Source organism: Homo sapiens, chromosome 8 (genome assembly GCF_000001405.40).
Source record: "Homo sapiens chromosome 8, GRCh38.p14 Primary Assembly".
Taxonomy (NCBI): Eukaryota; Metazoa; Chordata; class Mammalia; order Primates; family Hominidae; genus Homo; species Homo sapiens.
The window spans coordinates 96,454,299-96,478,751 of NC_000008.11; the positions used below are offsets into that span (position 1 = coordinate 96,454,299).

The 24,453-nt window shown below is 39.8% G+C and overlaps 1 long non-coding RNA gene across 1 annotated transcript in view, besides 1 other annotated feature; it reads left to right on the forward strand.

Annotated features, from left to right (window-relative positions):
* Positions 1–5,122, forward strand: part of LOC105375653 (uncharacterized) — a 39,647-nt gene extending 34,525 nt beyond the window's left edge. Inside the window, exons 4-5 of the long non-coding RNA XR_928432.2 lie at positions 2,991–3,154; positions 4,846–5,122. This is a non-coding gene — a long non-coding RNA (uncharacterized LOC105375653). The remainder of the gene's footprint in view (positions 1–2,990; positions 3,155–4,845) is intronic.
* Positions 565–634: an enhancer, noted in NCBI's record as "active region_27665". NCBI's record gives its function as "activates an Ori minimal core promoter by ATAC-STARR-seq in GM12878 lymphoblastoid cells {active_cell/tissue: GM12878}" and the evidence as "EXISTENCE:reporter gene assay evidence [ECO:0000049][PMID:35858748]".
* Positions 5,123–24,453: the final 19,331 nt, after the last annotated feature.

The window sequence follows — 24,453 nt, forward strand, 5'->3', positions numbered from 1 at the left end:
GGGCCCTGGGGAAATGGAGAGGAATCAGCCACAGCTGCCTTCCAGGAGTGGCTCACAGTTTGTACTAGTCAGGGTTCTCCAGAAAAACAGAACCAATAAGATCCGAGTGTGTGTGTGTACGTATACATATATATATATGTAGACAGAGAGAGAGAGTGTGTCAGAGACAGAGAGAGACTGAGTTATTTTAAGGAAATGGCTCATGCAATTATGGAGGCTGGTAAATCCAAAATCTGTATGGTTGGCCTGAAGGCTGGAGCCCCAAGGAAGAGTTGATGTTGCAGCTTGAGTCCAAAGATGGTCTGGAGGCAGAATTCTCTCTTCCTTGGAGGGTGGAGGGAAGGAGTGTCAACCTTTTTCTCTAAAAGCCTTAAACTGATTAGATAAGGCCCACCCATATTATGGGAGGTGATCTGTGCTTAATTCGTACTGATTTACTAATCCTGAAAAATGTCGTAATTGGTGCCATGTGGTGCCTGAATTGTTCTCTGAGCAAGCGTAGCTGTGGTTTTGCTTTTGCTTTCTCTTCTGCAAGATCTAAATGCCTACCCTAAGGTTCCTTCTCTATTTCTGTGTGGGTTTGCAGCTGGTCAGGGTTCTTGGTTGTAACAAAGAAACTCAAAGTCTACTGATTTAAATGTTAATCTCACTAAAAAGTCCATCCACAGTAACAGCTAGAATCGTTTTGACTATCTATCTGGGTACCATGGCCTAGCCAAATTGACATATAAAATTAACCATCACAAAGTCTAATAGGGGAGGAAGACAGGTCAACAGATAGATTCTTAGGATAAGTATTGGTTCTCCATATTGATTCACATTAGAAATATCTGGAGAGCTTTTTAAAAATACTGATTCCTAGGCTCTACCCCAGACCAATGACATCAGAATCTCGAGGGGTAAAGCTAAGAAAAGGTATTTTTTACAAAACAACCCCAACAATCTTAATGCCCAGCCACAGTTGAGCATCTTAAGTGTTCAAAACTGATAGAAAATGTTCTGGGAAGACAGCTGGAACAATGAACGCTGCCTGGGCCATGGTGAATGGCATCAAGGAGTGGGTATTGGGTTTGAAAGATTAGCAAAGATTCATCAGATGGGGAAGGCATAGGAGGAATGGCATTCTAGGCATGGGGAACAGCATGGGCCAAGCCACAGAGCAATGAAAATGTACTTAGGGAATAAAGTTCAATGGATAAAGCATATCTATTGTGTCACCTTACACATACACACACACATACACATACAAACGCTCATATCTTTATTCAAATATAAGCAGATTATCTCCTACTGTTGGGTGAGACCGTTGCTAATAATCTAAACTTACATACAACTCTACATCAAAAAAGGATGGAAACTATTTGGAGCTAGGTTCTTATTGAGGAGAAAATGTGGAAAGAAGGAAGTTTCAAAAGTGAGAATTGCTAAAAATACATTTGTTTGTATCTTAGTTTACATATTGGGATTTTAATATGGCGCAAATTGTAGCAAGCAGCAACAATCCCACATCAGTGAATCCCAACAGAATAGTTACACTCAGCCTAGACTGGTGGGGGTTTTTCTGAGAGATTTGTTCCCTGGTTTTGGGTCTTACTGCTCTCCCTCTGCACCTCTCCTTCCCCACTTCTTGCCTCAGTGCCTTTGATCATATCATACACATTTGCCAAGATGTTCCCACTCTTTGCCCCCACCCCGCCCTGGTTAACTCCTACTCATTCCTCATACCTCTCCTCAGATATTACCTCTTGCAGGAATCCTTCCCTGAAGGAGAGCACTTAGGTTGAGCCTTGATGATCCCTTACCCTGTTTGTAAATTCAGAACACTTAGTATTTTTCTGCATTCTCTTTGGGTGTACAGTAAAGTTTCACATTCTTTCCTAATTCTGGAGCACAGGTCTGAAGGAGATTTTTAAAGCTGATGCCATTTCAGAGCCTGTGAAGCAGCTGGAATCCCCTGTGGTCATTATTTCTCAGGAAGCAGATTTGAAAGATTGTAGCAAATGGGTGTTTGTTTTTCTTGGGTACTACAAGAAACACTGAGGAAGGCTTTAACTCTAAGCTGTGGCAGGTGGTGTTATTCCAGCGAAGAAATGAGGCATTAATAAGGATGGTAACACTAGAATCAGATGTGTATCTTCTCTCTGTGTTGGGAAGTTGGTGGAAGGATGCCAGGGTGTTGCATGGACACATCTGAAGCTCTCTAAGAAACAGAATTTGATCCCAAGAGGCCTTTTACAGGCGAAAGAAGTTTGTTAGCCATAAAGCTCTTAACCGAAAGTGAAAACCCCACATAAATGTTTATCTTTCCCTCTCCCTGGAGTTCCCTATGGCAGAGAACAGAGAAAACATGCATGCAAAAGTTTTAACAAAACAAGGAATTGAAGCTGGCAGTGAGGCAGGCGTAGGTGGTATGAATTTTTAATGATGAGATGTCAAAACTATCATTTGGGACAAGAATTGTTGAGTTGAGTACTTCCCTACTTAAATAAAATGAAAACATAGGTACAAACAGGCTATGCCTGATGAGAGGTTCTGTGAAAATAAAAGCCAGAAAATACTATATTTAATGTCATCCTAACTCTACTTCAAAGCAGGAAAAAATACTGCTTACAAAAAACACTTTAAGGAATGTTATCAACATTTTGACAGCGATTTCTATGAGTGTTGAGATTACAGGGAATACTTTTGCTTGATTACATATTTTGGTGTTTTATATATTTTTCTATACTAAGCACACATTGCTTTTATGATAGAAAAGCAGTAAACTTTATTAAATAAAGTAAATAGACAATAGTAAGTTAAAACATGAGGATATGTGTGCAGGAAGAGGGCTTTGGCTGGACCTGGGGCCCTGGGTCCACTCAAGCTGTGTACTTGCAGAGCGAGGGCATGGCCAAGGTCATGCTTTGCCAACTTGACAAATAAAAAGAATAGTAACTTAGTGTTGTTTAAGCTTTGTTAATTTGAATAACCATTGTTGTTGAACACAGCCTTTGGAAAAAACACTGAGAAAGCATTTCAGGTATCTGCCATGGAAAATACCATCAAGTGGGACACCCGCAGCGATCTCTGTACCCACAAAAGTCACACTTGCTATCCTTGGTGAATTTTCCTTAAAAACTGTGGATGAACTTCCAGTGACTGCGTAAATAAGGTTTGTGGACTTCTGAATTCAACCAGAGAATTGTTGCCCTTGCGTAGGAACTCCGAACTCAGAGTGGTTCTGTGGTTGGTAGGTAGATGAGGTGGATGTGCTTTTGAGAAAAATAATAGGACTATCCAAAGGGGGAAAAGACAGTTAATTGGCTACATTTGATTCATGCAATTGGTGCCCTGGGAGCCCCCATGCCAGTCTTCATCACTGGATGAGTGTTCCATCACTCAACCAAGGCAAACCATCTGCAATCCAGCAGGTACCCGGTAGACAGGATTGCCTAGTTTTCAGAAGCAAGTCAGCAACTGATGAAGAGTGGGCATAATCAGAAAATAAGTGAAAAAGAGATGGATTGGCCGGGCATGGTGGCTCATGCCTGTAATCCCAGCACTTTGGGAGGCCAAGGTGGGTGGATCACCTGAGGTCAGGAGTTTGAGACCAGCCTGACCAACATGGAGAAACCCTGTCTCTACTAAAAATACAAAATTAGCCAGGCGTGGTGGCGCATGCCTGTAATCCCAGCTACTCGGGAGGCTGAGGCAGGAGAATCGCTTGAACCCGGGAGGCAGAGGTTGCGGTGAGCTGAGATCGTGCCATTGCACTCCAGCCTGGGCAACGAGAGCCAAAGTCCGTCACAAAAAAAAAAAAAAAAGGAAAGAAAAAGAGATGAATCAATCCTTATAGTTATTTCTATAATTCCACCCCGCCACGCAGACCCATCGAGAGTCTTCCCAGGAAGCAAAAATAATCCTTTAGTCCAAAGGCACCCCTCTGGAAGTCCTCACCCCATTTTGAGCCATGACTTGCTGGCTTTCATGCCAGGAAGAAGAGTTACTGTTAATAACTTGTCCTACACATATGAACCATTGGGAAAACACTTCAGAGTTTCAGAATGCTGTTATCATAATCTGCATCATCATCATCGTCATCATTATTAACTCGGGAAAGTTAACAGCATTTTTAGCTATCCTTTGCGGAACCAATTTTCTGAAGAAAATATTCCTAGATTTACTTCAGGATTGAATGAGGTTTTAGCATGCCAACAGCAAGAGAGAGTTGGCATGAGCTTGAGTAGAGGTTTAGCAGGGTGGGGGAAGTAAAAACTAGGAATACGTAAAACAAGTAGACAATAATCAATAACAACTATTATTTATATAATAAACACTCAATGATATCAATATTTATATCAATGACCAAATTTTTTTAACTTCATTTTTAAAAATTATCATACAGTAAAATCAACCTTTTTTTGGTACATAATGGTATGAAGTTTAATACAGTATGGATTCATGTAACCACTACGGTAACCACACCAGATCAATCTGGCTCAACTTTTTTTTTTTTTTTGAGCCAAGAGTCCCACTCTGTCACCCAGGCTGGAGTACAGTGGTGCAATCTTGGCTCACTGCAACCTTCGACTCCCAGGTTCAAGCGATTCTCTTGCCTCAGCCTCCCGAGCAGCTGGGATTGCAGTAGGTGCCCACCAGCATGCCTGGCTAATTTTTTTTTTTCATACTTTAGTAGAGACGGTGTTTCGCCATGTTGGCCAGGCTGGTCTCGAACTCCTGACACAGGTGATCCGCCCGCCTCGGCCTCCCAAAGTGCTGGAATTACAGGTTTGCGCCACTGTGCCCAGCCACTGGCTCAACTTTTATGCAACAATGTTGTGAGTTGTTTTTCATTTGCCATAGACCCCCAGGATGAAGGTCATGTAACCTGAGCATGCCCAGATGAACCAAGTGTGCAATCACAGGGGGAACCTAAGTGCCCAGACTGAGGAGCAGAGACTGAATTAAGAAGCAGACACTGCATGTCAGGATCCAGGATCCAATCAGATCGAGCTCTGGCATTGCCCCACGGTCGATAGCAGGATCCAGTCAGATCATGCCTCCCAGCATCACTTCATTGCAAGATCCAACCAGATCACACCTCATTACCCTATGTTTATAAAACCTGACCCAAACCCAGCTTGGGGAGACACACTGGGGCATTTCCTCCTGTCTCCTTGCCAAATAAAGAATTTTTGCTCAAAAGTGAGTGCCATGGTATTCACCTCTGTGTACATCAGGCAGCAAGCCCATTGATTTCTCGGTAACACTACCACAGTCAGGATGCAGAATAATTCTATCACTCCAGAAAAATTCCCTTAGGCTGCCCATTAGTAGTCACATCCTCCCCTCACCCATATCCTTGGGCCACTGATCAGTTCTCTATCACTATAGCTTTGTCTTTTAGAGAATGTCACATAAATGGATCATACAATGCATAACCTTTTGAGAATGACTTCCTTCACTCTGCATAGTGCTTTTGAGATGCATCCAAGTTGTTGCATGTATTAATTGTTTTCTCCTTTTCATTGCTGAGTAGTATTCCATTGTATGTATGCACCACAGTTTATGCATTCACTTGTTGAAAGATATTCGGGTTGTTTTTAGACAATTGAGAGTAGAGCTGCTATAAATATTTGTGTACAGATTTTTTTTATGCACACATTTTCATTTCTCTAGGGTAAATACCTAGGAGTGGAATTGCTGAGTCATATGATAAACCTATATTTAACTTTATATGGAAGCATCAGCATAGCTTGACTATTTTGCATTCTCATCAGCTATGTCTGAGAGTTCTGGTTGTTCTGTATCCTTCCCAGCACTTGGTATTGTCAGTATTTTTTTATTTTGACCATTCTACTTGGTATGTAGCAATACCTCATTGTGATTTTGATTTGCATTTCCTTAATGGTTAAAGATGTTGGGTATCTTTTCATTTGCTTATTTGCCATCCATATGTCCACTTTAGTGAAGTATCTGTTTGTCTTTCCTGGCTTTTAATTGATTTGTTTGTTTTCTTACTGTTGATTTTGAGGATTCTTATATATTCTAGATATTAAGTCATTTGCAGGATATTTAATTTACCAATGTTTTCTCCCAGTCTACAGCTTGTCTTTTCGTTCTCTTAACAGTACATTTCAAGGGTAAAAAGTTTTGATGAAGTCTAATGTATGATTGTTTTCTTTTATGAGTCATTCCTTTATGTCTAAGAATTAACCCCATGTTATAGTTTTGCCTGTGTTCTTTTTTTAAAAGTTTTATAGTTTTAGATTTTTCATATAGATCTTTGAAAGATCTTTGTGTAAGATAAGCTTTGTGTAAGATATAAAGTTAGGTCAAGGCTCATTTTTTTTGTTTATGAATGTCCAATTGTTCCAACACCATTTGTTGGAAAAGATCATCCTTTCTCCATTGAATTGCTTTTGCACCTGTGTAAAAAATCAATTGGATATATTGAAGTGGCTCTATTTCTGGACTCTCTATTCTGTTCCATTGATTTGTGCATCTATATTCCTTCATCAATACCCTCATTTCTTGGTTACTGTAGCTTAATGATAAGTTTTAAAATCAAATTGTGTGATTCTTCCAACTGTATTCTTCTTTCTCAAAATTCAACTCGTTCTCAATGAGCTTTTGCTATGATTCCAACATCATGACAAGCACTTTACATGCATGATCTCATTTAATCTTCACAACAAACCTTTGAGGATATGTGTCAGTTCAGGCTCACCAGAAAGCAGGTGGATTTAGAAGTGCGATGGATTTATTGGGAGGAATGGCTGTGGAGGATAAAGAGAAGAGGGAGCTGGTCTAACAGGGAAATATTTCAGATGTGAGGCTGGTCTGACCCCAGCAAAAGGAGAAGGGAAGGAAAGAGGCTTGAGTAAGAAGAGACTTAGTCTGTAGTTTAGCTCTGAGAAAGTCTCAGCCAAGGTTATGGGGGAATTCCAGAGCAAAAGTTTCCCAGTAGAGGTGTCCCATTTTGGGCAGAAATCACCAGGCTCTTCTACTCCACTGTGCTAGTCATTGGCTTGGAGAAGTCTGGGAAAAGTGTGGCCTCAGTGTGAATGCTGCACAGGAATTAAAATAGCGACTCTAACTATTATTTCCCCAAATGCAAATTTCACCTCATGATTAGATTTAACTATACTATAACAAACATGTATATAGTTTGAATCCTTCCATGCTCAAAAATGAGTATGTCAAGGTTTATAGAGTTACAAGTTTTACAGCAGTTTTCTGCTCTGGCAAGACCCAAATATTCATATGCAGTCAGCCCCCCATATACATGAGTTCCACATCTGCAGATTAAACAAACTGGGGGTTGAACATATTTGGAAAAAAAAAAACAATAAAAATGATAAAAACAGAAAACAATATAGTATAACAACTATTTAAATTGTATTATATTTTATACGTAATCTAGAGTGATTTAAAGTATACGGAAGGGTATGCATAGGTTGTATGCAAATACTACATTATCATTTTATGTAAGAGATTTGTGCATGCATAGATTTTGGTATCCGTGGGGAATTCTGGAACCATTGTCGCTCAATATAGTGTTTTTGTGATGGAATTTAGATTCATTTCCCTGGACAGAGGCAGGGAACTGGACTTGGAATCTTTTTCTTGCCCTAGCTCCTTGTTAATGGATGTTTCTTGCTTTGATATTATTGCTCTTTCCCCTTCTTCCTTTCTTATCCCACTCTATAAATTTCTTCAGAGATCAAAGTCATCATCCACTCATGTCCTCCTGTCTGGTTAACAGAGGCCAGCTGTCTTCTGCTTTATTAAAATACCACATTCAGGATCTCTATAAGCAATGATCCCATTTAGCATCTGTAATAAAGTGCTATATCATTGCATAGATGAGGCCTTTCTGCAAAGCCTGTCGCTGACTGACAAATGTTTCACTGCACCCTGATGCTGTAGGCGCATCCCCTTTGAACATTCTGAGGCATCCCTTTGTACAAGATATTTTTAGTGTGTCCTTACTAAACATGTATACTGACAAGCAACTGGCAAATTGAGAACATTTCTCCATTGATTTTTTTCACTGATTTTTCTATTATTTAAGAAAAGAAACAGTGATAAATTAAAAAGGTATTCATTTTAGTAATAACAATAACATTGACTTAAATGTATATAGTTTTCTTTACTCCAGAATGTGCTTCCTTCTTTGAATCCTGATATGTATGGGAGGGAGGCAGGGCCAGTGTTATCACCTCCCTTTTTACAGATGAGAGCAGTATTGCCCAGAAAGCTAGTGGGAAATCCAAGGCTTGAATCATGTGCCCTCTTCTCTACACACAAAAGCCTGTATACAGCATCATAATATGTAAACATAGAAGATATACAAACCGTTAAAAAAGGAAATCATTGACAGAAGGTTTTGAGTGTTTGTGAACATGGAACATGCTAGGCATACACATGTTTATGTAGGAGCCCAACCACCCACGTTAATAAGAGAGTGACCCAGAGACCATTCACTCCCTGAATGAAAGAATGAATGAATGAACGAATAAATGAGTGAATGAATGGAGGGCCTGCCCCAGACCTGAGCAAAGCAGCCACGTCCAGCATAGGGGCTCAGAGGGCAACCACAGGGTTCTGCCATTTTGAGAATATGTCTTTCTGTGTCATAATCTCACTTGCCCTGAAAGCCCTGCCAGGAAGCCTCTACTAACAGGCAGATAGTGGAGTACAGTGTTTTCCCTGGGCCTGGACAAAATACACTTTTATGTTCTGGAAGGAAATAGAGATGGTGGGTCAGCCTTTGCAGTGAGCACATTTAAGCCCATTGAATTCATCAGGAAAATGTATTGATTTCCTTCTATTCTTCCTCCTGCATTACCACTCTCATCGTTTAACTTACCATGTTGTCTGTCAGTCTCCTTCATCATTTAGTGAGCAACATGATTATAGGAACACACTCATTCATCTTTATATTCTAAAGTGCCTATTACAGTTCCTGGCGTAGTTGGCACTCATTAAGCCATTGTCCAAATGAAGGAATGAGAACTATACGCTAAGCATTAGGGCTAGGTTTTCTAGCATTCAGGTAAGGAGGAGGAGGATGTTATCAGTTAACATTTATCAGCATGTATTATATGCCAGCAACCCTGCTACTTTTTTTTTATATACACAATCATATTGAACTCTCATACTAACCCTTATGAGTTAGGAATTTTTACTAGTCACATACACATATTAGGAAATTCAGATTTATTGGAATTAAATAATCTGCCTAAGATCACACAGTGAATATGTGGCAGAATTCTGTCTGTTGGACTCCAGGAAGCACAGTCTTAATTTCTATGTTATTCTTCTGGCCATACTGTCCAGTCTAGAAAGCTGATACATGGTCCACACCTTGATCTTTCAAAGGGGACAAAAAAGATTCCCTGGAAAATCTCAGCACCAAATCACCTTAGCTATGGGGGTAAATCTTAAATAGAAGGCAGAGTGCCATATTCAAGGAATTTATAGCTGTAATAAGCAGATGAGACTACCACACACATTAGAGAGAGAGGGAATATGAAATTGTCTAGATGTTCACTGATTTATGTAGACAGTCATATCTTTATGAGTTGGTGAATGTACTCTGTATGCCCCACACTATGCTACATGCCTCACATCTATTATCCTAATAATCCTTCCAAGGACCTTTAAAAAATGTGTATTATTCTGTATTTACAAATGGAGAAAATGGAATTAGGAAAAGTAAGTAATTTGCCTTAAATTGCAGAACTAAGAATACATGGTGGATTTGGGCTTCCAAGCCAGGCCATGTGATTGCAGAACCCAGATTGTACAACTCATTCTCTCTGCACTCTGAACCCAGAATGGCAGACAATGATGCCATAAGATGAGAGTGTCTCCAAAATATGCTGTTAAATGTAGACATCTTTGTGAAAAATGAGAATCCTTAGCAAAGACTCATAGATCTGATATAGATTAGCTTTTTTGGTTAGCTAGTAATTCAGTCAGTATATTAATGGGGCTGGAACACAGGAAAGATAAATATTTTATCCTCTGCTCAAAGATGAGACACCTGAATAAGGGCCTCATGAGGCATCCTGAGTAGATAGGGTATGACCCATGAAAGGATGCAGGTACTATAGCCCAAGGACCCTGGAAATCCGAAGAGAAGCAGGTCCACAAAGCAGAAAAGGGGATGATGAAGACCAAGTCCACGATTTCACTTTATTGCTTAAAGGAATGGAAACATCATATCTTGGAGACTTATTCTTGGAGGTTATTCTGCTTATTTTATTATTCTGCTACTTTATAAGCAAAATATTATCTAGTAAAATAGCTAACATTGTGGAGCACTTGATATATGTGTGGGCTGTGTTCTATGGAAGCTTTACATGAATTATACTTCATTAAATCCTCACAATTAGCTATTAGGTGGTTGATTTTCAACAAAGATGGGCTGAATAAAAGAGTATCGTATGTATTAATCTGCAGCTTGCTTTTTATTTAACATAACAATACATTTGGAGCTATTTCCAGGTAAGGATATAGTGACTGTTACATTCTTATAAATGGTCACATATTAGTCTGTAGTTCAATGTACCATGATCCATATAACCATTCTCCTATTGTTGGATATTTCGGACACTTCTATTTTCTTTACATAAACAGTAATCCAACAGATATCTTTGTTCACACAACCTTGTATACATTTACCAATATTTCTGTAGGATGGACATCAAAAATGAAGTGACACTGTTCTTTCATAATCAAAATCCAAGTTTCATTAATTGTTGAGTTGATGAAACAACTTTAACTTCTGACCTAAATCAGCGTTTGAAACGTTCTTTTTCTCTTTTAATGTAAAGCTGAAAAATATCTTTTTAAGGATAGGAGGTATAAATTATAGGCCTTCTCTTTGAGATAACAGAGCAAAAAGCTATGTGCAATCATAATAGAGCTATAAAATTGTATTCTGTTCTTCAGCATGAGGCAAATGCAAAATTTCAGAGTAATGAATATAATTGTAGATGTTCTGATGTCAACTTCAGGCCTTATATCTTACAGTAATGCTCTTCATTAATCATATTTTCAACTGATTTCTTGAGTAGATTTGTTTTTCTACATGGCACATCAAAATGTGCGGGAAATGTACTAGTGACTACTCAAGTGCTTTGTTTTTTTAAACAAATAAAACCTTACATTGTATCTATTCATGCATCGATTCAACTATCATCTAAATACCTGAGTGTGTTATTTCAGAATTAGAATGTGGTTGGTAAGGAAGGTCTGTTGGAGGTAGAGAAATAGAATTGATCTAAAATATTACCTGTAGAACCTTTCTTTTGCAGTGAAGCCTCCTAGGTTCTGAAAGAATTACAGATAGGTAGACCGAATGTCCACCGATGGATGAATGGATAAACAAAATGTGGCATATACACACAATGAGATAACGTTCAGTCTTAAAAATGAAGAATATTCTGACACATGCTACAACGTGGATGAATCTTGAGGGCATAATGCTAAGTGAAATAATCCAGTCACAACCTGGCTGGGCGTGGTGGCTCACGCCTGTAATCTCAGCACTTTGGGAGGCTGAGGTGGGTGGATCACCTGAGGTCAGGAATTCAAGAACAGCCTGGCCAACATGGTGAAACCCCGTCTCTACTAAAAATACAAAAATTAGCCAGGCATGGTGGCACGTGCCTGTAATCCCACCACTTTGGGAGGCCAAGGAGGTTGGATCACAAGGTCAGGAGTTTGAGACCAGCCTGACCAACATAGTGAAACCCTGTCTCTACTAAAAATACAAAAATTAGCTGGGCGTGGTGGCACATGCCTGTAATCCCAGCTACTCAGGAGGCTGAGGCAGGAGAATTGCTTGAATCCAGGAGACGGAGGTTGCAGTGAGCTGAGATTGCACCACGGCATTCCAGCCTGGGCGACAGAGTGAGACTCTACCTCAAAAAAAAAAAAAAAGAAAAAAGAAAAAGAAAAAAAGAAAATTACAAACAATCTAACCCAAATAATAAGGAATAGCAACAAGGAATCTGACTTAGAGTAACTAACCTCTGTGTGCTCACATCTAAAATTGTATTATCAAATTTAATTGTAGTATTTGGGGTAGCCTAGATCCCAGTAGCAAAGTGTCCCCCAGATGTAAAATGGCTAAAACACTACAGAAGATAATTTATCTCATGAAACAGTCCACGTATGCAGTAGATAAATGCTTGTTAAGCGAATGAATGAATGAATAAATAAGTTAATGGATGTAGCTTATAAGACATGTACAAACCATATTACCAGATATGAATCTCAGGTTACCAATTCAGATGTGAAAGAAATGTGGCTTTATTCTTCCATAATTAAACTTAAAATATATCTTGAACTTTCCTTCTGCTGGGTTAAGTGGCCAAAATGAAATCTGAGACAACTCCTTGCCACTCTACAGTAGGCAGAATAATGGCCCCCAGGGATGCTTGGGTCCTAATTCCTAGAAGCTATGAATATGTTACCTTACATGGCAAAGGAGATTTTGAAGACATGATTAATTTAAAGATAGAGAGATAGGGAAAATATCCTGGATTACCTGGGTGGGCCCAGTGTAATCGCAAGCATCCTTGTAAGTGAAAGGCGGAGGCAGGAGAGTCAAAGAAGATATGGCAACAGAAATGGGGGTCAGGGTTAGAGAGAGAGAGATTTGAAGATGCTACACTGCTGGCCTTGAAGAAGGGAGAAGGGACCATAAGCTAAGAAAGGACCATAAGCTAAGAAATGCAGGCGGCTTCTAGAATTTGGAAAATGAAAACAAACAAACAAAAAATAACAAAAATAAAAACAAACCAAAAAACCCCACCAAAACAAAACTGGATTCTCCCTCAGAGCTTCCAGAAGAAACGCTGCTCTGCTGACACCTTGAGATTAGTCCAGTGGAACCCATTTGAGACTTCCGACCTCTGGAACTGTAAGATAATACATTTGTGTTGTTTTACTCCGCCAAGTGTGGTAATTTGTTATAGCAGTCATAGGAGACTAATACACACCCCACTGCCACTCTCCTGGCAGTGGTGGCTGAATTCTGGATTGGAAAGGAAATGGGGCTACAAAGAGGCCACAGAGTACAGGGACTCGGGAGAGAAACCACCTGGATTCAGAACTCAGCTCAGTCACCTGTTTGCAGTTACCCTTAGTGAAGGGATGCAACCTCTCTGAGTGTTAATTTCCTCATCTGTAAATTGGGAAGAACAGTACCTACCTCATCAGGTTACTGTGAGGATTAAATATGTTCATTTAACAAAAGGGCTTAGTACAGTGCCTGGCATGTAGTAAACAGTATATAAGTATTAGCTATTATGGTGATTTTTTAAAAAATTATTTATATATATATATTTTTTGAGATGGACTCTTGCTCTGTTGTCCAGGCTGGAGGACATACGGAGGCCTTAAGGGAAGCCACCATGCTGCAGTGGTGCAATCTCGGCTCACTGCAACCTCTGCCTCCAGGGTTCAAACAATTCTCCTGCCTCAGCTTCTCGAGTAGCTGGGATGACAGGCGCCCGCCACTACACCCAGCTAATTTTTGTTTATTTATTTATATTTTTCCTGAGATGGAGTTTCACTCAGTCGCCCAGGCTGGAGTGCGGTGGTGCAATCTCAGCTCAGTGCAACCTCCGCCTCCTGGGTTCAAGCAGTTCTCTTGCCTCAGCCTCTTGAGTAGCTGGGATTACTGGCACCCGCCACCATGCTTGACTAACTTTTTGTATTTTTAATAGAGATGGGGTTTCACCATGTTGGCCACGCTAGTCTCAAACTCCTGGCCTCAGGTGATCTGCCTGCCTTGGCCTCCCAAAGTGCTTGGCCTCCCAAAGTGCATGACCCACCACGCCCAGTCAATGTTTGCATTTTTAGTAGAGACGAGGTTTCACTGTATTGCCCAGGTTGGTTTTGAACTCCTGACCTCAAGTGATCCACCCACCTCGGCCTCCCAAAGTGCTGGGATTACAGGCGTGAGCCCCTGCTCCTAGCCCTATATTGATTACTCTTACTATCATCATCTGATCCTAGGTCTTGAGTAGTCCATGCTGCCAGATTCTGCTCCTCAGTCATAATCCATGCAGATTTCTGCTAAGTGGGTCCTCTCTGGGGCAGAAGATGCTGGTGCTCCAGCCGGATCCCTTGAATCCCTTTTACTGTTGGTTGGTATGCTTGTCTCCCCAGCTTTTGTGGATGCTTGGCTGAAGGCTCACCCCTGCAAACATGTCCGGAGAATTGCCTTTGGGCAATGGAAGCCACCGTGCTCAGAGCTGAGATGACTTCATGCGTGGCCAGGAACCCCTGGAGGAGGGTATTAAAGTCCTGCTCCCAGTCTCAAGGCAGGACAGACTCTGCAGCATAATTTATGCTCCAGAGCTCACAAAGACCTGTTGGGAGCCATGTCCTTTCCCTTCCTTATCCTGCTGCCTCCCTCCCCTGTGGATGTCTCCTGAGAGAGCTCTCTCGATATGTCACATGCACACACATGCGCACAAAGTTTTGTCATGGGCTTTTTGTTTTGTTTTGTTTTAAGGGAATGTGACCTAAAATGTGGTCTGAGGCCTCAAGACACTGGCAGCTGTGTAGGCACGTGACAGGTAGCCCAAGAAACACTAAGGAGCTGTGGGGCTGCGGAGGAAGAAGAGGGTTGGGCTGGAAGAGCAAGGAAAGCCTCACAGAATGGGCTGAGCCAACATTCAGCCTGCACTCACCTCATGAAAACAGCACACATTTAGACCAGGCTTTGTTCTATCGGTCACCTTCAGATGTCATTGTGTCCTATGCACACAGAATGTGTAATGCTATTTTCAACCCGGCCTTAATTGCCACAAAGTCAATTCATTTACTGCAAAAAAAAAAAAAAAAAAAAAGGCACAATGACTTCTAACCCTTAAGGCCTCCGTATGTCCTAGATCTTAAAAGTAAAACTTAAAAGCTCAAATTTTTGGTGCAACTAGAAACCCAATAAAAAGTTTCCGAGACAAGCAAAATTATATTTGTAGTTTTTCCTGAAGAGTGAGAGAAAAACAGAAAAAAGACTAAATAAACCATTAAATTTTGAGACATCTCAGCAATTCATACTATTATCTTTCTATTTTTCCTTTAGGTGATATATTGTTTAATATGTAAGCATTTATTACCATAGTGTCTATGACCATAGTGTTTATGAGTTTTTGTCATTGCATTTTCTGTCATTTACATATTTATGTTTCTTCCTGACTTCCCCTACTATCCAAGACAACTCCTACCTCAGTTTACACTCTTCTCTTTCATATCATCCATATAAATGTTGCCTCTCCTCATCCCGATATATTGCTTTTTTTTCTTTAAAACAAAATAACTAATGGCCATTGGCAAGCTACCCTGGGAACTGAAAGAGCACTGTTTCTTGGATTCACTGAAAAGTTGGACAAATTCACTGAAAGACACTGACTACATACTCCAGTGGAGGTCCAGACAACAAATCTAAAGGACAGTGTTCTCCCCAGGACATAAAAGTGTTCCATGAAAGGAGCAACTGACAATGACCAATCACTTGCCATTGGAGAGGACAAGAAAATGACAATTAGTGATTCTCCACCATCCCTTTGCTTCTCTAGCCCCTTCCATCTTATCCACCACCTTTCTATTTTTTCTGAGCAGTTGCCAAGAGCTAAACACAGACCAAACTGAATTGTGGGACCTGCCTTGAGCTGACTCAGTGAGGGAACCAGGCTCCTCCAGGCCTACAGGGTAACCAGGGACAGCCTGGCCTGGGGAGATTGCCCCAGTCATGGCCCGGTGAAAGGCTGCAGGTCCTCCCTGGGACAGAGGTGCTTAGGCATCAAAGGTGGAACTTGGGAGGGATGGAAGAGAAGCTACTCCTGACCTGCCCTCTGTTAATTTCCAACTTAGAAACACACTGGCATTTGTGTTGACACTTACTCATTGAGTCTCCAATGTAATTAGTTGATTTTTGTATTTTTAGGGTATAAAGTTGAAACTTGGAAGAAAAGGACAGAAAAGATACTTTTACTCCTTCTTCCTATTCGTCTCTTAAAAATATACAATAATATATATTTTGGGACCTTTCTTTGTTTACAGAGTCTTTTCTAGGATTCTTTACCTTATTCTTTTTAGTTCTAAACCAAGAATAGTGATAGACCAGAACCCAGATGCCTTACAAACTACTTTAAGGGAAAATAAGGAATTGTGCTAGTAAACATAGCATGTAGTACTTACTCATTCTCAACTATTTTTATTTATGACAAAGGCTTGCAAAGTGTGCTGGTAATCTCTATTTAACATATTAACTAAATGAATGAAAAATAGAATGATTTGTTCAAAACTCATCACATTCATGGCATAGGCAAAGCAGGAAATTAAGAACTCTTTGATGGGAACCCAAAAGAGCTTGTATAGCTTCTAATTTGGGGGAAAAGTTGTGAGTACACATGTTTGAACATAAAATGAAAACAGAAATATAACCTCTAGTTCATTTACTAATTATGAGAGAATGTAGCTTTCAGTTTTAGAGTTTAAAAGTGTATTTCAATATTTGAATAGTTTTATGATGGCCTCAACTGAGCCTTCATTTAGATCGCTATTAGCAATATTACTACACAAGAGATTTTCTAACAAAAATAAGTAAATGCTTATATATCTTCTTTCCCCCACCCCTAAATGTGCATTACTATTTTCTATTGTACATAAAAGCAATAAAGCCATTGTCAACAATTTCCACCTAAACTTGAGGCAGGAGAATAGGGTCTGGAGGAAAAGAACCTAAGGCCAACTCACACTTACTTCCTAGAACTGAATCAAAAGGACAGGCTGGAGTGCAGTGGCGTGATCTTGGCTCACTACAAGCTCCACCTCCTGGGTTCATGCCGTTCTCCTGCCTCAGCCTCCCGAGTAGCTGGGACCTCAGGCACCCGCCACCACGCCCTGCTAACTTTTTGTATTTTTAGTAGAGACGGGGTTTCACCGTGTTAGCCAGGATAAGGCTGCCCCCTTTGCTATCTGCCCCCCTCCACTATTGCAGATGAAAAATAGAAAGTACCTCTAATTGGTCCCCTACTGCAACCAATCAGACTGGTCGCTGGCCAAGTCTTCATTTGCATAGGGTATAATCAAGTAACCAATGGGAAATCTCTAGAGGGTATTTAAACCCCAGAAAATTCTGTAACCAAGTCTCTTGAGCCCCTTGCTCCAGCCTGCTACCACTCTGTGGCAGGTACTTTCGTTTCAATAAATCTATGCTTTCGTTGCTTCATTCAAAATGCCAAGAATGTGGATGATGCATAGTCAAGACCCTACCAGTAACAAACTGATAAGTGCCTTTATAAGTTACTCTTGGATAACTATACTGAGACTACTAAAGAGGAACAGAAGAACTCTAATTCAAGCCCTGCACTTTAAAAAATAGTATCCTTTAGTCTATAACAAAGGGTCTACAGTGAGAATGTTAAAGATGAGCAAATTGAAAGGTACCAAGAAGAAAATCTTACAGGGAAGAAGAATATCAGAACATACATAGTGGGAAGAGATGAAAGAATGTATGGCCTTTCTTAAAATTATCAGGTTTGGGTAGGTTTCTTGGCTTATTTTTGTCTTAATACTTTATAAATAAGAAGATACTTATATTTATTATCAGATAAAATATCCAAGAGTATGATCTTGTATTTGAATTGCACGAAGGGCTTTCTTGTTCTGTTTTCAGTGCATAGTTGACTAAAACGGAACTACTGCCTATTTAATTATTTTCCCCCTTGTTTTCCTGTTATCTAAAAACCTGAGAATTAGATTTAAATTCAGTTTGTAATTTAGTTTTTGGTTGTTGTTGCTGTTGTTATTGTTTAGAACAATTATTGTTTCTAGTTCCAGCTGTATATTTACTCTCTCTCCTAGGTTCATTAGAGCTAAAAATAAATTGGATTAGGCTTAGACAAAATTAAACTGAATGCAATGTCTTTTTTTTTATTATTATACTTTAGGTTTCAGGGTACATGTGCACAATGTGCAGGTTAGTTACATATGTATACATGTGCCATGTTGGTGTGCTGCACCCATTAACTCGTCATTCAGCATTAGGTATATCTGCTAATGCTATCCCTCCCCCCTCCCTCCACCCCACAACAGTCCCCGGTGTGTGATGTTCCCCTTCCTGTGTCCAAGTGTTCTCATTGTTCAATTCCCACCTATGAGTGAGAACATGCGGTGTTTGGTTTTTTGTCCTTGTGATAGTTTGCTGAGAATGATGGTTTCCAGCTTCATCCATGTCCCTACAAAGGACATGAACTCACCATTTTTTATGGCTGCATAGTATTCCATGGTGTATATGTGCCACATTTTCTTTATCCAATCTATCATTGTTGGACATTTGGGTTGGTTCCAAGTCTTTGCTATTGTGAATAGTGCCACAGTAAACATACATGTTCATGTGTCTTTATAGCAGCATGATTTATAATCCTTTGGGTATATACCCAGTAATGGGATGGCTGGGTCAAATGGTATTTCTATTTCTAGATCCCTGAGGAATCGCCACACTGACTTCCACAATGGTTGAACTAGTTTACAGTCCCACCAACAGTGTAAAAGTGTTCGTCTTTCTCCACATCCTCTCCAGCACGTTGTTTCCTGACTTTTTAATGATCGCCATTCTAACTGGTGTGAGATGGTATCTCATTGTGGTTTTGATTGGCATTTCTCTGATGGCCAGTGATGATGAGCATTTTTTCATGTGTTTTTTGGCTGCATAAATGTCTTCTTTTGAGAAGTGTCTGTTCATATCCTTCGCCCACTTTTTGATGGGGCTGTTTTTTTCTTGTAAATTTGTTTGAGTTCATTGTAGATTCTGGATATTAGCCCTTTGTCAGATGAGTAGGTTGCAAAAATTTTCTCCCATTCTGTAGGTTGCCTGTTCACTCTGATGGTAGTTTCTTTTGCTGTGCAGAAGCTCTTTAGTTTAATTAGATCCCATTTGTCAATTTTGGCTTTTGTTGCCATTGCTTTTGGTGTTTTAGACATGAAGTCCTTGCCCATGCCTATGTCCTCGATGGTAATGCCTAGGTTTTCTTCTAGGGTTTTTATGGTTTTAGGTCTAACGTTTAAGTCTTTAATCCATCTTGAATTAATTTTTGTATAAGGTGTAAGGAAGGGATCCAGTTTCAGCTTTCTACATATGGCTAGCCAGTTTTCCCAGCACCATTTATTAAATAGGGAATCCTTTCCCCATTTCTTGTTTTTGTCAGGTTTGTCAAAGATCAGATAGTTGTAGATATGCGGCATTATTTCCCAGGGCTCTGTTCTGTTCCATTGGTCTACATCTCTGTTGTGGTACCAGTACCATGCTGTTTTGGTTACTGTAGCCTTGTAGTATAGTTTGAAGTCAGGTAGTGTGATGCCTCCAGCTTTGTTCTTTTGGCTTAGGATTGACTTGGCAATGTGGGCTCTTTTTTGGTTCCTTATGAACTTTAAAGTAGTTTTTTTTCCAATTCTGTGAAGAAAGTCATTGGTAGCTTGATGGGGATGGCATTGAATCTATAAATTACCTTGGGCAGTATGGCCATTTTCACAATACTGATTCTTCCTACCCATGAGCATGGAATGTTCTTCCATTTGTTTGTGTCCTCTTTTATTTCATTGAGCAGTGGTTTGTAGTTCTCCTTGAAGAGGTCCTTCACATCAACTGAATGCAATGTCTTTCAATTGAAAAAAAAGAACCTCAATATTCTTTATGCCATTAATGATAACTACTATTGGCTCATCAATGTGATGACGTAGTCCAGAAGAGAGGTAAATGTTCTATAGGCCAGTAAAAGTCTTTATGGAGTCAGGTTCAAAACCTTTATCTGCAACATTAACTTAAATTAATTTGGGGTTAGAATGTCTGGGGAGATTTGCGCTACACATGCAAATTATTATTACAATAAGTTAATTCCCTGTAGGGGTCAATATAAGGGAAATGAGCATAATTCCATGACTAGGCTGAGGGGAAACTTTTCAACAAAAACAATCACATGTTGGAATGAGAAATCTTTTCTCAGAGAAATCTTAAAATGAGTCAAATATTTGTTTGTCCTAAGTGATTTAGTTGAAGTGTCTCTGGAGACTGAGTGATGAATTCTACAACTCCGAAAGCCCTTCCCATTCCTATAATCTGACGATAAATCTCTGGGCAGTTCATTAGATTTGTGTTCTCATAAATGGGTGACTTGGTCTTCTCATCTTTGACTCTAATGAGAAAAATATATATTGAGAGGTTTTCTTCTTAGGCACTCTGTCAATCTTTCTACCTGAAAAACGGAGAATACGGAAATGTGATTTATAAAGAGAAAAACAATAATAAGTGAAATTGGATCCCTACTTCATATCAAACACAAAAATCAATTCTAAATGGTTTAAGGATTTACATGTCAAATGTAAAACTTTAAAACTTTCTGACCATGGATCTTTGAAAGAGTACATCCAAATGCACTGGTCATAAAATAAGAGCTTGACAACTTTGACTAGATTAAAATAAAGGACTTCCGCTCATCAAAGAGACCTTTCAAAAGTGAAAAGATAAGGTACATATTGAGATAAGGTATTTGTAACACACATAATAGATAATAATAGTTTTAAAGTATATAAAGCTAATAAGAGTTAATAAGGAAAAGACAAATAACCTAATAGAGGCCTACCCAAAAGTAATGGAAAGGCATTTCACAGAAGAGATAATATACATGGCCAAAGCAACATTTGAAGAGATGCTCAAGTTTATTAGTTAAAAAGGAAATGCAAATCAAGACCACAATGAGATACCATTTTATACCCTTTCAATTGGCAAAAATTAATTTGACACCGAGTTTCAGAAGGATGGGACTCAACAGGATTGCAGGCAGGAATGTAAATTGCTACATCCATTTTGGAAAAACAATTTGGCATTATCTTGTAAAGTTAAACATTCCCATATCTCATGACCCAGCAATTCTACTCCTAGGCATATTCTTGTGTTCTACCTCAACATCCATATCTCTATGAACAGCAAAAACTGATATTCACACTAGCAGAATAGATATTCTGTGACATAGTCACCCAACAGGACAAGTGAACCATAGCTACCCACCAGAACATAAATGAATTTGAGTAACATAATAATGAGTGAGAACAGCAAGTTTGAGATATAAAATAAGCAAAACTAAACAACATATTGTTTATGTATATACAAAACATGATAAACACAAAACTCAAAATGGGGGTGTTTCTAGAATTGAAGATAGCACACAGGCAAGTTTTGTTTTTTATTTATTTTTATTTTTTTGAGACAGAGTGAGTCTCACTCAATTGCCAGGCTGGAGTGCAGTGGTGCAATCTTGGCTCACTGCAACCTCCGCCTCCTGGGTTCAAGTGATTCTCCCGTCTCAGCCTCCCGAGTAGCTGGGACTACAGGTGCCTGCCACCATGCCTGGCTAATTTTTTGTATTTTTAGTAGAGACAGGGTTTCACCATGTTGGCCAGGATGGTCTCGATCTCTTGACCTCGTGATCCACCCGCCTTGGCCTCCCAAAGTGCTGGGATTATAGGCGTGAGCCACCACACCCAGCCAAGTTTTTTATTTTTAGAGATGAGGCTTCATTCTGTCACCCAGGCTGGAGTTCAGTGGCATGATCACAACTCATTGCAGCCTTGACCTCCTGGGCTCAAGTGATCCTCCTGCTTCAGCCTCCCAAGTAGCTGGGACTACAGGTATGCACCACCATACCTGGCAAAGTTTTCAGTTTTGGGATAATTGTAGATCTTAGATTGAATGGCAGGTTCATAGGTTTTCATTAATAATTAAGCAAAAACAAATTAGAAAATAAATAAGTGAAAAATAAAAGATAGCTTATGTGGACCAAAGATAATAGCGTTTGTGAACCAAGGATCGATTACACTTAACCCAATTTTGTATGTGTGAGATTCTCCTATATCCCAAAAGGTAAATCACAATAAAAGTAGTGACTTCACAATTGGTTTATTTGCTCTCTTACAATAATTCAAGGATTATAAAGTATTTTACAAGTTTCAATTCAAAGAGTCTTTGCCACCTGAAATCTTCTTACCCCTCCCTCCCACTTTGTCTGTTTTTCCTTTTTGGCTTACAGTTAGACAAAGGCAATGCTTAAATTTTACAGTTGGAGAAAGAGAAAATGCTTAAATGTTATTCTCAAATATCAATGGTGAGCCTAGCAAAATGACTTCCTGGGCTTTTATCGCTGTACCCAACAATTCATCAGTGCATATTTCACCCTAATAGCAGCAACTGACATGCATAGTTCTTTGAGTTTTTCATTTTTTGCCTGTGGGGGCTACTTGGATTTTATCTTGCTTCCTCCAGGCTCTAAAATTTACATTACCACTAGAAATCAAAATGGGCTTTGAATGCCATTGGTAAGCAAGGAGCTATTGGGACTTGAAGAGGCCATTTACTAAGACTTGTAGAGACAAGAAGACTGTTATCTTTTGAACTGTAGTGGCTAATCCACCTCCTCCCAACCCTCCACCCACTGGGCAATTGGAATGGGACCCAATCTGGCACCAGACTCAGACTCCAAAGGTAGGTAGGTATTTTACCTGAAGCAGTCTGAGTAAGTGCAGCAAGAGTTGAGTAGGATCCACGTTTTCGAGTGTCCTGCACAGTCCAAACGTGAAAATCCGAGTTCAGCCACCAAATCCAAAGGGTGAATGGAGCCAAAAGAAAAGGAGGACAAAGCCAATAGGACAGGAACCAGTGGAATTCTGGTTGTAAATAGTCTTGGGCTATCCCAAGGAAAAAGATTAAAGTACCCTAAAATGTGAGAATGAGTCGGTTTAGTTCAGTTTCGTTTAAAGGCACAGTATTGGGGCTAATATTTACAAAACCCCCACTGTTTTAGTTTAACTGAATTCTTAGGTCTCTTTTCCATGAATGTCTGCCAACATAATTCAGATCTTTATTAGCAGCTAGTTTTTTGTCTTCAAATACTTCTGAGCAGAGGCAATTGTATATTAAAAGGGGAGGGCAGATTCTATGATGGAAGGAGGTTAATCAGGAAACAACAGAAAAACAGGAAACATCATATGGGTTCATGCCAATGGTTAATCCAAATATTATGTTGTCAAGGGCTATTTTGTGACATATATTTATTTTTTCCTAGGAAGATAGACTGTCAGTATTCACAGGGCAGTTAATCCACTGTAAAGATAGACTGTCAGTATTCACAGGGCAGTTAATCCACTGTAAGCATTTAGCCAACATCTGCAATATTCCCAACAGCAGTGTATGAAGTTCCAATTTCTTCACATCCTCACTAACACTTACCTCCAAATACCACTACATTGAGGATTAGACTTTAACATACGGATTTTGGAGGGGCATAAACATTCAGTGTATAGCACCAATTTTAGAAGGAAAGTGCTCAATATTTCATAATTAACATTGGTGTTAGCTTAAGGTCTTTCAAAGTTATTATGGCAGATAGTTTCCAAAGATGGACTCAACAATATTTTTTATCCTACATGTTTTTCTAGAACCTTGCCATGATACCAGTAGGAGGTGGAGTTTATTTTCCCTCCTGTTGAACATGAGCAGGCATTTGTGACTGTCTCAATCAATAGAGTATGATGGAAGGGAAGCATGTGACCTCTAAGGGTTGGTCATGAAAGATGCCATGCTCTTCTCCCTGGAACTTTTGAGATACTCATTCTCAGAACCCCACTGCCATGCTGTGAGGAAGCCCAAGAAGCCAGATCAGGGTTCCACGTGGAAAGGAACCAAGGTTCCTAGCTCACAGCTCAGCCGAGTTCCTGTCTGACAGCCAGTACCAACTTGTGAACCATGTGACTGAGTCAGCTCGAAAACAGAGCCCCCAGCCTCGGGTCAAACTGCCCCAGCCGACATTGCATGAAACAAGCTGACCTGTACTCCCTGAGCCTTACTCAAATTGCAGACTTGTGAGTGAAAAAAAAAAAAGAATGGTTGTTCCAAATGCCCATCAATGACAGACTGGATAAAGAAAATGTGGTACAATACATATACACCATGGAATATTATGCATCCATAAAAAAGAACGAGATCATCTCTTTCGCGGGAACATGGATGGAACTGGAGGCTATCATCCTTGGCAAACTAACTCAGGAACAGAAAACCAAATACTGCATTTCTCACTTATAAGTAGAAGGTATATGATAAGAACATATTAACCCAAAAAAGGAAACAAAAGACACTGGGGTCTATTTGACAGTGGAGGGTGGGAGAAGGGAGAGCAAAAAAGATAACTACTGGGTACTGAGCTAAATACCTGGGTGATGTAATAATATGTACAACCCACCACCGTGACACATGTTTATCTGTGTAACAAACCTTCACATATACCCCTAAACCTAAAATGAAAATTTAAAAATATATATATTCAAAAAATTGGGGCCTGGTGCAGTGGCTCACTCCTATAATCCCAACACTTTGGGAGGCCGAGGTGG